Here is a 17,267-nt window from a genome sequence, read left to right as displayed (position 1 = left end):
AATTAATCAAATGATTCATGAGTATCCACTGTGTATGTATAATTATTATTTGAGATGTATGTATGAGTTGGAGGGAATGAGAGAGAGAGAGAGAGAGAGAGGAGAAAATGTGATCCGATAAAAATATATAGTTCTGGTCGGGCATGGTGGCTCATGCCTGTAATTCCAGCACTTTGGGAGGCAGAGGCGAGTGGATCACCTGAGGTCGGGAGTTCGAGACCAGCCTGGCCAACATGGTGAAACCCCGTCTCTACTAAAAATACAAAACTTAGCCAGGTGTGGTAGTGGGCACCTGTAATCCCAGCTACTCGAAAGGCTGAGACAAGAGAAACGCTTGAACCTGGGAGGTGGAGGTTGCGGTGAGCCAAGATTGTGCCATGGCACTCTAGCCTGAATGACAGAGCAAGACTCCATCTCAAAAAAAAAAAAGAAATATGTAGTTCTGAGCTGAGAGAAAGAAGTCATATCTATCCCAATGGTTATATGAATAATATAACCAGAATTTCTGACTAAAAAAACAGGTTGTTTTTGTGGTTCTCCAAGTAGATTCCCCATTTTTGGCTGGTAGTTTTCTCTTCCAACAGCCAACCTTTCATCACCTCTTCTTCCAGACCTGAGATTGCCTCAAGAGAACAAAGCTCCTGGTCTCACTATGGGGTGCTGAGGAGGTGTCGGTTAAATGACTACTAAGCGGCAAATCCCTCTTCTTGATACAAGAAAGAGTTTCCAGATTTATTATATTAAAGATCATTTTATGATCTTTACATTTATCATGATCATTTTATAATCATGATACGTTTATATACCCACATAAACGTACACATACATGCAGAGAACACCCCTAGAAACTACATTTAATAATCGAAAGAGAGATGGTCTAAAGGAAAGGGAAATGGAACAGGTGTTTACATTTAGGAGACAGAGATACACTGACTGTGTGTACTATGAGAATACATTATGTAAAAAGGGGAAAAGAAAGAATAACTTCTTAAAAGGCTTGCTTACCATACAGCCACACAGACTTCCTGTGGCTTCTCACAGATGGAGGTGATGCTGCAGTTGCTCATGCAGGATTTCTGGTTGTCACAGGTGGAAAATCTCACATCACAAAATTTACACAGTTGTGGAAACTTGACTGCACCGTTGTTGTCAGTGACTATCATGTCGTTATTAACTGAGGAGAGAGAAAGATATATTAAATGATTATCCAACTGCCAGGCAGCCTGCCAATGAATTCCTGAAGATGTTATGCAATTTCAAATGAACTTGATGTCATGAGAATGAATCTGAAGAAAGGCAAAATAATTCCTTCACATCAGATTAGAATTATCTGGTGTATGCAATTTGTAATAAAATCCATTGTACCGTGGTGAGGGGTGGTGAGGGGTTGGGGTGGTTGAGTAGCCATTTGCTTTTGTCAATGGTTGTCATAAGGTCCACTTTCTACAAAAATCTTATCATTCAATAAAGAAACCTAGATGGGCCCACTGCATAGTACGGAGTGCTGGGCCCACAAATAAAAGTACCCTTAAGGAAATTATAGTTTAGCTGGTGAATAAGACAGGAAACAGACCAAGTCAGGGTGACCCAAAATAGAGGGCAGCACAGAGGATGTGGGAGCCAGGCGAGCATCACCGCTCAGCTGGGCAGGGAGGCTATAACCTCACAGAGTCATGAAGTGCCACACCAAAGGAGGAACCGTTGCTGGAGGCACAAGATTTTGCCGCCATTTTCCTGACCTACTCCTGAAAGAGCTATAAGGGTCTTCTTTTCAAGGGACTAGTTCTACTGATCTCTCTCTGTGTTTGAGGCAAATCAATTGATTAACTAACACTTACTGAGTGCCTCCTAGACACAATCCCAAGCATTGGTGAGGCATTGGAGTTATGATCGCAGCAAATAAAAGCTGAATCCACCTCAGGATCTGCCTTCTGTACCTCTCCCTTATCACCACCATCACCAATCTCCTGCCCCCTTCTGGGAAGAAGCCAAGTTCATTCCCTCCTCAGGCCTTTCACTTGCTATTACCTTTGTTTAGCTTCCTGTCACTTTTCTGATCTCTGATCAAATGCCACCTCTTCATCCTATAGCAACTCTGTTTTATTTATTGTCTGCACAAACTATCTGCATCGCATACTTGCTAATAATCTATCCACAAAAATGTAAGCTCCATGAAACTTTCTCCACCTCACTTACCTACTATATCTCCAGTGCCAGGAAGAGAACCTTTCACATAGCAGGCATACAAAAATGTTTATTGGATAAATGAGTGAACACAGGATGAATACAAGGAGTCCATGTTTGGCCCTTGATGCCATGTAGGATAGGATACAGAACTTCTTCACTCAGATTAGAGAGGAATGTGATTATAAATGTGATATTCATTCACATTTATTCAATAAAATATGGAAGACAGACTATTCTTTGCAAAATACAGGCTGCAAACTAGGGGCAGTTCAAATAAAGGTGTAACACCCCATTCCCCATTTTCTTCCTCAATGAGATGGTGATGATGTTTAAGACATGAGTTTGGACAGTCAGTGAAGTATGACAAGGCTACTAGGCACTCAACCAGCAAACATGAATTAATACTTACATGCTAGACTAAGAAACATTAAGCACTTAGACCGCATGGGGTGCTGGAACAGTTGCTGGGCCACAGAAAGTTGTGAGGTACTTTTCCAAGGCATAACCCTTAGAGAGGCCTAAGAAAAGCCTCATGTTCCCTCCGCTCTTGCCTAGAGAGGAACACTTTCAATGCCTTTCCACAGTCACTCTCTGTCCTGTGAATTTTAGGATTCTGTCATAGATACTTTGCCCTGCAACTGTCTTTGTAGCTTGGGCATAGCACCTGTTTCCTGGGTCTCTAAAAATATAAACGTATATAAATTTAAGATTTGCTTTCTTGTGGTAACAGTAAATATAGAAGAAAAAAATAAAGCCATTCATCCCTCTCGGGCCTCAAGTTCATTTCAGGAAGTTTATTTTTAGGTAACAAGCTATTTTGAAATTCTCAGTGTCTCCCAGACCAAGAGCTCTATGCTTAGCTAAAAATATAGGCAGAAATACTCTCTGAACTGTGTGAAATTTGGGAGAAACACAACAATTAATATGTATTTTTTTCTAACATGGTTATACTTGGATCAATTTTTGAAACAACTAATAACACTTTAGGTTTCTTTAACATTGTTTAAAGCAAAAAAAAAGTGAAACCACGTTTTGTTTATTTCATACATACGTATTTTTTGTATAGAGTATGTTTTGGACAAGCATCTATTTGCTGATTAGGAAGGTTTGTTGTTTGTAAATATAAAACCAAATTTCCATTACTTGAAATTCAGTCTTCCAACATCTTAGGATTTTAGCTTAGATTGGTGGTTATCAACTTGGAGAGCATGTTGAAATCCATCACCTGAGGAAATTTAAAAAATACTGAAGGGGTCCCACTCCCAGATAGTCTGATTTAATTTTTCTGGAAGGTAACTGAGGCATCAGGATTTTTAGAAGCTGCCCAGATGATTCTAATGTGGAACCAAGGTTGAGAACCCAGACCTATAGTTAGTTGGAAAAAACACAATAAACAGAAAACAAAACAGCAACCCCCCCACTCCCACCCCACCACCACAAACACATATACAACTTATGCTGCTGAGGGGACAGCACCTGGATATAGCTGGAATTAGTTCCCTTGTGAAAAACATGCACCTAAGGAGAGGTGATTAGCTCTTTCACACCTCAGATAGAAATTCTTCTCCGTGCTGGCCAGTCCTTTTCTAGCAAAACCTTAGAAACGTGAGAATAGTGACAGGAGTGAGCAGCGATAGATAAGACAGAAATGAAAACAGATGAGATGGGTGCTGGGAGCAGTGGTGGCCACAGATGTATTGACAAATGCAAGTGGTTTAAGTCCGATGCTTGCAGAACACAATCAACAGGGAAAAGAAAAAAGGACCATTAGAAGAAAGAAAGGGAGAGAAAGGGAAGAAGGATGTAGGGAGAGAGAGAGGAAGGAAGGGAGGAAGGGAAACAAGGAGGGAGGGGGAGGAGAGAGAAAGAGAGAGAAGGTCCACCAATTTGCACAGCTCCAGGAGCACCACTGTAACGGGGCCCCTGGCGAGATATAATACATGTTACTTGATGGGTAGACCCAACAAGAGAAAGCCTTTCCATTGAATGTTGAAGAAAAGCCAAACAAGCAACTGTACTGCATATAGACACAGGCATATGGTGGGAAGGGCAGTGTACAATAAGAATTTGCACATGCTGAGCACCCACTGTATATGAGGAAAGTTGCCTAAGATACAGCATATTACTTCACAAGAACCCAGCCAGGGATGCCACATTTTTCTCCTTGTTACAGCAGAAGCTACCACTGCAAGAGCTTAACCAGAATTTTTTTTCAAAAGCCTGTATGCAGGACATGTTCAGCACCAGCCATCGACTCCCTATTAGTTGACCCTAGGAGACTCCCCACCTTAACAATTCCAGGTAGCCCTTGAGGTCATATACATTCCAACCTTTGTTTTAAACCAGTATTCTTTTCCTCTATATGATATAGGTCCTCAGGTCCTTTTATGCATACCATATGTACTGGTGGAATAGGTAGTTAAGTTCAGAGGGCAAAGCTACTCTAAACCTTTGCTGGAGTCACCTAAGTTTGATAAAAGCCTTATGAACACACTTTGGAGTTGGGGAAAAGAAACAAATACAAAATTTGTAGATCATCTGAGAAGGTTTGCAGATTCTCTGAGGCCCGTAAGATCCAGTTAAGGCATCCCAAGCCAACCCCGGAATCCTCAAGAGTCACTAATAACATGCTAAGTGGTATACTGCTGGTCAGAGTGGGATGAGGGCCAGTGGGAGGGAAGGGTAACAGTCATTTGCTGTATGGGACATTGCATCTGTGCACTCCAAACCACAGGAAAAGATGTTACCAGCCACGACCTCAGATATCAAACAACATCTCCTTACGTTTAATACATAATGTTTAAAAAGCCAAAGGAATGGGAAGGAAAGTAAGTGCATACATGTGCATAGCTAGGAATAAAGATATTCCTCTAAACAACGATACAAAACCCACCTAATTAACCCTATAGCAAACCCTAACCCAACTTCAACATTACTTTTAATCCAGATTGTTATATTAGTCTAAGTCTCTCTAGTTAAGATATTCTTATATTAAGGCAGTATATAGTCAGCCTTCTGTATCTGTGGGTTCCACATCTGCGGTTTCCATCAACCGTGGATGCAAAATATTTTTTTAAAAAAATTGATGATTGTGGCTGTACTGAATTATGTACAGACTTTTTTCTTGTCATTATTCCCTAAGCAACACAGTATAACAACTATTTACATAGAATTTACATTGTATTATGTATAAGTAATCTAGAGATGATTTAAAGGATATGGGAGGATGTGTGTAGGTTATATGTAAATATTACACAATTTTATATAAGGGAGTTAAACATCTGTAGATTTTGGTCTCCTCGAGGAGTCTTGGAACCAATCCCCCATGGGTACCAAGAGATGACTGTACTTCGATTCCTATAGACTCTCTGTGAGCAGCTAACCATCTTTAGAGAATTTTCTACCCCTAATAGGCAAATTCGTTATTCATAAAGTTCTCCAGAAAGAAGTTCCAATAAGAATATCTGTCACCTAGAAAGCCATCCACTAAAGGAAGTGAACATGGGTAGCATCTCTCAGCATATGATAGTATCACATGGCCCATAATATTTCACTTCTCTTCAAATAAGCCCATGAGTAATATCAAAACCTTCACTCTAGGTCATACCACCTTCCCCATTTTATCTCACATTTTCCCCACACTCACTGCCTACAGACAGAGGTTCCAGGTCTTGAGAATATGAATTGACTGCTTAGCTGTGTCTATTTCTGGAACTGTACTATTGTCTTTGAGGGTCAGATGAGCAGCCTAATAAGATTTAGACTTATTTCAGATAAATATTAGAAATTCTGAATATGACCTTAGTCCAAATCTTTGAAATAGTGTCTATTATTAGCTGAACCATTAGGTAAAATCTCAAGGTTTAACAATAACCATAAACACTTGTCAGAAATGCATTCATGTATCACTGAATTCATGCATTCGTGTATCATTGAATTCATGTATCTACCGACTGTTGTTTTCTGGAGTGTTTTTTGTGGGGGGAAACTCAGAAATTTATTTGTTCTACAAATACCTGTGGATGTCTTGATTAGTGTTATATATTCATAGTAAGACCACTGAAATTGACACAATTAAATAACATCTCAAAGAATAATCCATGGAAACTGGTGGATAGAATTTACTGTTTTAGAGTACTGCTTCTCAAATATTAATACACAAGTACTTTGGGAATATTTTTAACCTGCAGGTGTAGCATAGTGGTATTGTGGGGGCTGGCAAGTCTGAAATTTATAGGGCAGACTGGCAGCCTGGGAACTCAGGCAGAAATCAATGCTGCAGTTTTGAGGCAGTATTTTTTCTCTCAGAAACCTCAGCTTTTGCTCTTAAGGCTGTTCAGTTGATTGGATGAGGCCCACTCACATTATAGAGAATGATTTCTTTTACTTAAAGTCAAATGATTTTAGCTGTTAATCACATCTACAACATACCTTCACAGCAACAATGAGATTAGTGGGCACCAGAACCTAGCCAAGTACACACGAAACTGACCTTACAGATAGGAAGGGAGCTGCTGCCCTGGGTGATGCCAGCCCACTATATGTTGAGTGGGAAGGCTGTGGAGAACCCAGTTTTTAATAATTGTTTCCCTTTCTCCAGTCATTTTGGAGTTAGTGAAATTAAATACCTATTCTTCACCTTTTTACAGGCATTTCTCATCTTCCAGTTCTTTCCATATGCTTTTCTCTTGAGCCTGACCTCTTAAATGATTGCAAACCCAGAGGCCCTGATCACCATATGGGCCCAGAATTGAAAGACATGTTCTCTGAAAGGAGGTTTTTAATTGCCTGCAGCATTTCCGAGTCAGATACTGAGGCAGCCATCTGGCAGAAAGCCGCTGTGGCCTGTGATGCTAGCAACAGCAGCTCCGACCCTTGAGACAAGGTGGGACAAGGCTATTGGCTAGTCACACACTTCCTCCCACCCAGAACAAAGAAGAAAGTCAAGCAATCTGAGAGGATTCCCTGTATAATTCTTCAGGAAAGACATCCCCAAGCCAATCAGATACCTTGGCCAATTACTACAACCAACCAACCAACCAAACAAACACCTTGTGATTAAACCAAAGATAGGAACATTTTAGGAATAGTTCTTTTTGCTGAACATCTATTGCACACTCTAATTGGAACTTCTAATACAATACCTTCTTTTTAGTTTTTAAAAATGTGTTTGAACCCTAATGCTTTATCTAATTATACCTTGAGAGAAGAGAGGTATCGGGCTTTCCTTCAACTGACAGTCCACATGGTCTCTGGGGTACCAAGGTCAATACTAGAGATACCATCATTTAGCTAACAGGGAGACTATGGCGTGTGCAGGAAGAAAACAGAGACAAGTGACCTGAAGGCATCAATTCTCCTTCTTATGCAAATATTTTTGTAGTAATAATACTTTAAAACCTTTCAGAGATGACAAAGTGAATACTCTAAAATCTCTGTGAAATGACAATGCCTTATAATTCTTGCTTTTAAATAGTAAGTATTCTACAAGTGCCAGAAGAATTAATGCCATTTAAAATCATTATCAATGCTTATTGGAAACAAATAACAAATCATATGAGTTCTCTATATTGTGTTAAAAAAACGCTACTTTAAATATTACTTCCTGATCATATCACCAGAGAATAAGCTCTAAAAGCGAAGCATGTCAACCTCATTGCTAACAAGTGAAATGCAGATTAAAAATGCATACCATATTTCACCTAACTCATTTTGAAAAAGATCAATAAGTCAGATAACACAGTGAGCTGGGTAAAGTATGGGGAAACAAACATTCTCATAATGCTGTGTTGTAAACAGGTATAACATCTCAGGAGTACATGTTATTGATATCAATCAACACTGCAAACGCAAATAGCCTTTTGCCTCGCACTTTCGCTTCTAAAAATTTATGATATTCATTGATAAATTCGCTGCAGTGTTGTTTGTAAGGACAAACAGGTTTTTTTTTTAACCACTCATCAAGAGAAGACTAGTAAAATAAATTAGACAAATCCAAACAAGGAACACAACGCAACGACTAAAAAGCAGAGGGCAGCTCCATGTGGCTATCTTTATAAGTGTTGAAGCCCAGGCTATAGCATTCAAGAAAATAAGCAAGGTAGAGACCAATGTATAGAGTTACTTGGGCTGGGTGTCTTCTATTGCCCTTAGAGATCAGTTCTCCACCCTTGGTCACCAGACTGTCTGCCCCAGGAGGCTCATCTTTATGGACTACATCAACCGGCTCTCTTGCCCTCAAGCTTCCAGTAAGTTTGGCCAATGGGGTGACCCAGCGGTATCTAAGGGAAGCAATGAGGAGCACATTTAAGGTATCTGTGTTCTGGCTCCCTCTGTGGAATCTTTTCCAGCTGGCCAAGTCCCTCACTTGGAGGTCACAGGTTCTCTTCAGGAGGTCATTTCCAAGATTTACTTCTTCCCTCTCCTTGCCACTTTGGGCCTAGCAAGTCAACATAGCAATTACTAGTCCTAAGTATCTGCACTATGGTTTCTCCCATTTTGTGGTGGTTTCCCTTGACTCTATCCATACCTTTGTAAGTACTTGTTTTACTAAACTCTCCTTAAATCTCCCTAATTTGAGGGTGCCATCTGCTTGCAACTGGAACCCTGGTTGACACACCACCATTTCTGTTTTGTTGTTATTGCTTTTATTGCTTTTTTTTTTTTTTTTCAGACAGAGTCTTGCTCTGTCACCCAGGCTGGAGTGCAGTGGCGCGATCTCGGCTCACTATAAGCTCTGCCTCCCAGGTTCACGCCATTCTCCTGCCTCAGCCTCCCGAGCAGCTGGGACTACAGGTGCCCAACACCACGCTTGGCTAATTTTTTGTATTTTTAGTAGAGACGGGGTTTCACCGTGTTAGCCAGGATGGTCTCGATCTCCTGACCTCGTGATCTGCCCACCTTGGCCTCCCAAAGTGCTGGGATTACAGGCTTGAGCCACCACGCCTGGCCTGTTACTGCTTTTTAAAGGGAATACACACACACACACACACACACACACGTGCACACACATGCATGCTTATATATTTAGACGGTCTCTGGGAGTAGATGCAAGGACATGAGAATCAAACATTATTTGGCCCTGTAAAAGGAAAATAAATAGGTAGAAAACTGAGGTTGAGAAGCAACTTTTTATTTCATACCCTTCTGTTACTTTTGAATTTTCTATTATTTTTCTGTACTTAAAAAATGTTTTCATTATAAATGAGCAAATGCAAGGCAGATTCTGTCATGGCAGATGCATGCAGCTTTCATTCAAGTGACAGCCCCACATAGCCTCTGGGCACCAGGATCAGAAGTGGAGAAACAATACCTAATAGGGAGACCACCATGTGGGCAGAAAATAAAGAGATAAGCTCAAAAGCATCAATTTTCCTTTTCATGCACATGTTTTTGTAATACTAATATAGTTTTTAAAACCTGTCAAGAATGACATAATCAATACTCTAAAATCTCTTAGAGCAGGAAATAATTCTAGTAAAATACCTAGTACGGGCCGGGTGCGGTGGCTCACGCCTGTAATCCCAGTACTATACACACACACACACACACACACACACACACACACACACACACACATACATATATATTTTCACACTGAAACTACCTACCATCTGGCCAACAATTAAGGATATCAAATGTCTGGGATACTCTCCACACAACAAGACATCTAAAACAAACACCAGGTTGGTCCCTACCCTCCTATGGCTTATATTCTAGTTTGAGAGGCAACATTAACAACGGCAACCTCATGTGAATCAGTTACTTGCCTTTAAATGCAAACATGAGGTCAGAAATGGAGACAGAGCTGATACGGGAAGTGTGTGTGTGAGTGTGTGTGTTTATGCATTTATGTGTGTGATTTCCTCATTTGGACTTGTTCAACTGAGGGAATTTAGCTTTGTAGGTTTGAGTTTCACTAGCATTTTGGCTCATGAATTTAGTAGTTTGCTATGATTGCTTTAAGAAAACTGCATAAACATAAATTTGTATTTACCAAACAAATTAAGGGATTAAGGAATGATTACTTGTGTCTCAAATGAATTCATCCAATGAGGTACTTTAAATTGAAATCTTGGCTGTACCTTTAAACTCAAATTTTTTTAAATGCAATTTACAAGGAAGTTTTTTTAGTCTTCTACGGAATGAAACAAGCTGTAGCTGAACGGAAAAATAATTGGCTTTCTCCAGTGACAAACATAAAATAACTGAGCTGGAATTTCAATTGCATCCTTTCCTATTTAACACTTACCAGCCCCAATGACCCCAAATAAATCCTAAAAATGCATACTTGGTTTTCTTGCTTTCTTGTATCATTGAAGAATGAAGTACAATTTGAGTCCCCCCAACGCTTGCTGAATTTTCATTTATTTTTCTGTTTTTTGTTTGTTTTTGTTTTTAGTGGCAGGGGACCTCTCTGAGATACAGGCCACATAACAGGAGACAAAATCTAAACATTTAAAATGACTCTTGCAGGTGGAAATATCTACACATTGTTGCCAAAGGCAGTATTTCAGAATTCTAGCACTTGTGCCATATTCAAAAAGCTGAAACAATTGTAACTTTCTCAATCATGCTCTTTCAGCTCTAATAGGACCCAGTGAATAAAACAAATTTCTGAAAGCTGGGGAGAAGCAAGCAGTTTATAGTAAATACTGTCATCAATACATGAAATTCTTAAGTTTTTCATTGATAAAGCTCACTTTAACAGTGCCTTTATCTGGCAAAGACTGACTGCAGGGACTATGAGATGAGTCAAAAACCAGAATGTAGGGTTTGGGGCTGAGAAGAACAGGAAGCCAGTTAAAAAAGTTAAGCCATATAAATGCAAATGGTATATTAGATCAAGTGAAAGAGTAGAATGGAGCACTATTTCATGAACTCTCAAAATAATAACTTTATGCCTCTGCTGAGAAGTGCTTTAAAGTTGGTACTTTACCTAAAGTGACAGCAACTGAGAAAACAATTCTCCCTCAGTTGACAGGACTTGGAGTGCTGTAGCAACAAGGAAATAATTTATTATTGAAAATAAAAGATGATTAAATAACTCTCTTGGTGATGGTCAAAACATTGGTAAATGGCACAGACTGATAGAGGCAAGATAATGATACACGACTGACGGAGTTTTACAACATTCCAATTCAACTAAAGTAATTTGTTACTTACCAGCAAAATTAGTCAACCTAAACGAAAATGTGCTGCTTTCTGACAGCCCTCATATTTAAACCCTTGAGGGAAGGGGGACAGGATAAGACATGGTCCTTTCCTCAAGATCTTTAAGTTCTTCTAGGGAATTTTTAAAAATGCACGAAATGATTTTCATCAAAAGAGCTTTGGAAATAAGGATGGTCTAAATGAAGATGTGCTTTTTAATTAAGTTATTCATTTAGGATTTAAACAATTCTTTATCTCAAAGTACTGAGGCAGCTTAATGGAAAATGCAGAAACTAACACAAAATCTGGTAAGAACAGATTTTTAAAAGATAGTGACTATTAGAGAATCTGAAAAATCAGCCCCTGAAATGAACCATTTGCCTCAACTAAGCATGGGATTTGGTCCGAATATCAATGTTCTGTGAGAGCAGAATTTTCACTGATAAATTTCTCCGTGGAGGCTTTTGCTTCAGTTTTTCAAAATATGCTGCGGGGTTCTTGTGCATGCCTGGTACCTGAAAGGTTTTTCAATTACAGTTTTATTAAACATGTGAAAATATTGGTCAAAACAGATGATTTCCATATTTTCTCTGGAAAAGGGCCAGAGTACTACCATATTTGGGAAAGGCATCCCTTTAAAAAGTAATATAACGAGGTCCAAGGCGCTTGGTTTCTAACAACCAAATAACTTGGGCACAGACTGAGAAGCTAAAGCAGAAATTGCTACAGTGGGTACAAGAGCTGGACACAGAGCACAGATGTGTTCTGTTTGGCCTGAACTCTTTTCTTTTTAAAATATAAACCAAGTTTTAAAATTCAGAGATTTCACATGCAAAACTGGTTTTCTAATTCCACTTAAAGAAATAAAAAAGACTTGGAAACAGTGGGCCCACACCATCCCAAGACAACAGTCAGCTGACTGTGAGCTGAGATGCTCCTCTTGAGAAAGTCTCTGTGTCCTCAAATTTGCCTCCTCCCTGACACTCCTTCATGTCACCTACTCCCCTGCCAGGCCCCTGTGGCCACCTGAATGTTTACAATTAATGATTATTTCACCTGCACATTCAATTCTCTCTTCTAATATTAGGGTTTAACTAGAATGCAAAAAGTCATGATTTAACTCTCTAATATGAATATTTTTAACATGCATGTAATTCTCTAATGTGTATAATCACATTTCAGTTCAAGGCCAGAGGACATCTACTTTAGAAATCAGATCTATGTGATGTTAATAATTATTATTACCATGATCATGATTTATCGAATGCAGACCAAATGCTTAGTCCAGTATTAAGTACTGTGATGATTATTTCATTTACTTATCACAACCACCATGCAATTTTGTCATTAACATTTTATAGATGGAGAAATTAAGGGTCAAAGAGATGAAATAACTTATCATATCATATCAATGAGAGAAAGCAAATAAAAGACAAAGCCAATGGTGACACACAAGCCCTCATCCTTCCTGATACTCCACAATGAAATAGATATTCCATCAAAAAGTTTAAGAGTAGAACTTTACACACATTCCAGTACAAGGCAAAGACACAGGTGTGACTACTAGGAGTTGAAGAAAGTATACAAGGGGTGGGGAAGCAATAAGTTTCTTAGACAAAAGCTTTGGTTCTTTGTAATTACTTCACTTATTTTAGGAGACATATATAATAAGGTCAGCTTGGTGAAGCCCAAGAGTTTTAAGGTAAAAACTTGAGTGTGAATTCAGGCTCTTACATGTATTAGCTGTGGGCCACTTAACTTCTTGAAACCTCCATTTCCTGATTTATGAAATCGTCCCATGTAGGATCATGATGAAGAGCAAACATGCTTGAAGTACCTGTGAAAATCCTCTAGACAGTAAAAAATGCCACACAAGCATTCACTTGCTAGAAAGGTAACATTCCATGCAATGCTCTCTCACACCAAAGAAAATTGCAGGAAACAAATGACAAGATAAGTATGAGTTTGGTAAATCTATTCCTACTCATCAATAGAATGTAGCAGTTTGATGACTTCTAAAAAACCTTTCAGGAAATTTGAATGAATAGACAAATTGAAATATAATAATTTTTTGTTACCACTGTGCCCTGATGCTTTCAAATATACAATGGAATCAATCATCGTTACAATAAAGTTGCCAAGAGTGTTTAGGATCTAGAACCAAATAATCTGGTTTTGAAATATTGTTCATAACCAGCATAGGTCTGGCAAACAGGCAGTAACTTGAGAATCCAGTTCAATTTTCAAATCCTCTGCTTACTCCTGCACATTTATCAGGCGAGAGCTGATCTACTTTGGCTTTGAGACACTTAGTGTGTTATTTCGCAACATGCTAATAAAATTAGTAAGTTTGACATGCAGAGATGGGAAGGCAATGATGTGTCTTAAGATTGTGGAATTCTAAAATATTGAAATAAAATCATGTTTGGCTTACTTTTCAAGGAAATAAAACTGCTGTACTTTCATTCACAGCTGATGAAAGAATTACAGAAGAATATGGGCAACAACAATTGTAGTAGATTTTTAAGTACCTAGTTAAAAAGTGTTCTGGGCCATCCAGATATATGGAAAGCAATATTCCTTAATCTTCTCTCCTGGAGCTCATTTGCTCACGTAAAAGTTAATTATAAAACATTGCTATATGACTTCTACTGGAGGAGAATTCACCATGCTGGGAATGGCAGCAGGTTGCAGTGGAGAAGGCTCTGAATCGACCATGAGGGGGCTTTGAGTTCAAGGGCAATTACCCAACCACTCTCTGTGCCTGTTCTCCAACCAGTCAAACAAATGGGTTGGACATGATGAACTTAAAGGTCCCTTTCATTTTGAAAAATGACACAAAAAGGACAGAAAGACACATTCAGATTCACTTTGGTTTCTAAGATAACACCAAACACTTTGAAACTTCCCCCTTCATGTTTTTCAAGCAGAGGAAGTAAAAAAAAAAAAAAAAAAAAAAGAAAGAAGTTGCAAGTATTGTTAAGGCTTCTAGAAAGGACAACAAAGGGCAGGAAATTTGAAACAAAATCTGAGAATCTGCCCTTAAACTGGGCAATTTTGCTTGTTTTCTCACAGTGCAGTTAGATGAAAAAGTGTAAGGTTGATCTTCGCCTTTCCTGGGCATTACTCATTGCTGTCATGACCTTGATGCAATTTGCAGTAAACATCATAAAGGTCTCTCTTGTGGTGAGTAGCTGCAACTTTTCTGATGCTACCTCCTGTGATTAAAATATCTACTCCCGGCCTGGCACGGTGGCTCACGCCTGTAATCCCAGCACTCTGGTAGGCCGAGGTGGGTGAATCACGAGGTCAAGAAATCAAGACCATCCTGGCCAATATGGCGAAACCCCGTCTCTACTAAAAATACAAAAATTAGCTAGGGCTTGATGGTGCGTGCCTGTAGTCCCAGCTACTCAGGAGGCTGAGGCAGGAGAATCACTTGAACCCAGGAGACAGAGGTTGCAGATGGCCAAGACTGTGCCACTACATTCCAGCCTTACGACAGAGCAAGACTCTGTATTTAAAAAAAAAAAAAAAAAAAAAAGGCTACTCCTTTCCAAGTCCTAGCAATCCCACTAAGGTTGGTAACTTAGTCTGTTTGGCTGCCATACAAAATATGTGAGACTGGGTGATTTATAAAGGACAGAAATTTTTCACAGTTCTAGAGGCTGACAAGTCCAAAATCAAGGCACTGGCAGTTCTGATGTCTCGTAAGAGCCCCCTTTCCTGCTTCCAAGATGGTGCTTTGTTGCTGTGTCCTCTAGAGAGGACCAGTACTGTGTCATCACATAGCAGAAAATGGAAGGGCAAAAGGATCCAGGCTGGTTACCTCCAGCCCTTTTATGTGGGACTAATCCACTCATGACTTAATCACTTCCCCCAAATCTCCGTCTCTTGATACCACCACAATGGGGATTAAGTTTCAACATAAATTTTGGAGGGGAGACATCAGCCACAGTAGTTGGTGAGAAAAAAGGACAGTATTTACATAATGACAGTTGTCAATGGGCTGTGGAAAAGTCAAGATAGATTCCAGCAGTGATTTTAAGATGGAAAATGAGAACCATGCACACAGTCTTCAAGGTGCAATCTTCCAACATAGTTCTGGAACACAGCTGGCTCCTTCCATCCATGGGGAATGACCACATTTGTGTGCTGAAATAACATTTAGTACTAGAGATAAAACTGGAATAAGTGATCTAAACTTTGAAATGTTTTGAATGACCTTTGGCTACAAAGTCAAATTATAATGCTTTCTATTTCTTAAGACAACTCTTTATGGAAGTTCTAGTATGTACCTAACTTTGGCACCTTAGATTTGCCCCACACTGAATCTTATCTATTAAACCTATCTCATTCTGGGGTGAGAACCCAGATGTGTAAAATCGTATGGCCAGAGGTGACTGAGAAGTGCATTTTGACTATGTTTCATAGTCTTTTATCCATCTTAGCATAATCTTTTTACCAGCACCAGTGGAGTTGTGAACTCGCTCAATTTCTTGTGATGTCCAGTGTAAAAATGTATGCCTATAAATGTAACTCTTAGAAAGAGAAGCAAAAATGAGAAACCATGGGGGAGGAGGGGAGGAAATGACAAGCACAGTCTGTTTTTAGGACACTGTACTTGCTGTTCCCTCCAACTAGAATGCGCTTAACCCAGAGATCTGCCTTCTTCATCCCGATTTCATACCAATTACTGCTCAAATATCACATTATCAAAGATGCCATTCTTGACAACCGCTTCTAAAATTACAAGCATCTACCATTGTTCTCAGACCCTCGCGCTGTACTTATCTGCTGACATGTTGATAGAATCTTGTTTATTAGCTTGTACACATGGACTTTAATTCACTCTGTATTCCCCAAATCTCAAACATTGGCTGGCACACGGTGGTTGGTACTCTATAAACACTTGGTGATGGCTTTCCTATCCCTAAGTCCTCCAAAGCCAAGTTTCATACCTCTTCCTTAAGTTCCAAAGGAAACCTTATCTGCAGAAAATTAATGCATATTTGCTGTTGCTGGATAAAGAATAAGGATATAGTCACAGAGAAAAAAGGACATGTTGAGGCCAGGTATGGAGGGTATAAACAGTTGGTGAAGAGTTTTAAGCTCAAGGCCTAGCCTGTCTAACTTAGCAATAAAAGGAAGTCAGTTCTGAAGTCAAAGAGAGTTCTTCTTTCCCCACTGGGAGGAGCTGGTTCATGAAAGTGGAGGGCCAGAGCCAAGAGAACTCTCCCAAGACACATTGTTCAAAAGTCAAGGGCATAATCTAGATAGAGCTACACAGTAGCCATGAGGACACATGGATTTATAAATTTAAATTAACTAAAGTTAAATGAAATCATACATTCAGTTCCAAGTCAGACCAGCCATTTTCAAGTGCTTAATAGCCACATGTGGCCAGGAATAGACAGGATACTTTCATCATTGCAGAAAGTCCTATAGGACAACACTGATCTAAAGAAATTCAAAAGGACCTGCGTTCCTCGGCTTCTGAGGAGATCTGAAAACGAAGGCCCAGAGGGAAATGGAAGGAGAAGCAGGGCAGAGCTTGAAAAGTAATCGCATTGGAAAGGGCCCTGACTGCTGGCTTGGATGCCTTGTGTAATTAAAGTTCTATCCCAACTTCTTAAGGAATGAGTCTCGTATTAAATGACTGGCTGTCTGTAGTGTCACTGCTGAGGTAGGGAGAGAAGACAATTAGGGACAAGGAGTAGTGTTCCATGGAAAACACGTTAGCTATGAGTGGCAGCAGCAAAAGGTCTCAGAAGTGAGAGAAATGGACCCAACTAGGTTTGCAACAAGCTGAAACCTGTAAAGGCTCATGTCAGCTGGCACAACCTCTCAAAATGCAAATCCCTGAGCCCAAGATAAATGTAAGGCTCGTCTGACTCCTAAGGTATCAAGTAATTCTTATTAAGCCC

General features: G+C 39.6%; 1 protein-coding gene across 16 annotated transcripts in view; it reads right to left on the bottom strand.

Annotated features, from left to right (window-relative positions):
- The window catches only part of TGFBR2 (transforming growth factor beta receptor 2), an 87,787-nt gene that overhangs the window by 48,222 nt on the left and 22,298 nt on the right, over nucleotides 1-17,267 (bottom strand). For 11 of the 16 annotated variants that reach the window (NM_001407129.1, NM_001407132.1, NM_001407136.1 and 8 more), the window contains one exon: nucleotides 1,006-1,174. The exons of 2 other annotated variants lie outside the window; for them this stretch is intronic. In NM_001407129.1, coding sequence (NP_001394058.1) covers nucleotides 1,006-1,163 — 158 coding nt within the window. In that variant the 5' untranslated portion in view covers nucleotides 1,164-1,174. Of the gene's footprint in view, nucleotides 1-1,005; nucleotides 1,175-11,125; nucleotides 11,182-13,074; nucleotides 13,178-17,267 lie in introns of all 16 variants that reach the window. 3 more of the 16 variants (NM_001407133.1, NM_001407135.1, NM_001407134.1) reach the window with 2 other exon arrangements.

Source organism: Homo sapiens, chromosome 3, assembly GCF_000001405.40.
Source record: "Homo sapiens chromosome 3, GRCh38.p14 Primary Assembly".
Classification (NCBI taxonomy): domain Eukaryota; kingdom Metazoa; phylum Chordata; class Mammalia; order Primates; family Hominidae; genus Homo; species Homo sapiens.
The sequence above is the reverse complement of the archived record's forward strand: the minus strand, read 5'-3'. Positions and strand labels throughout refer to the sequence as shown.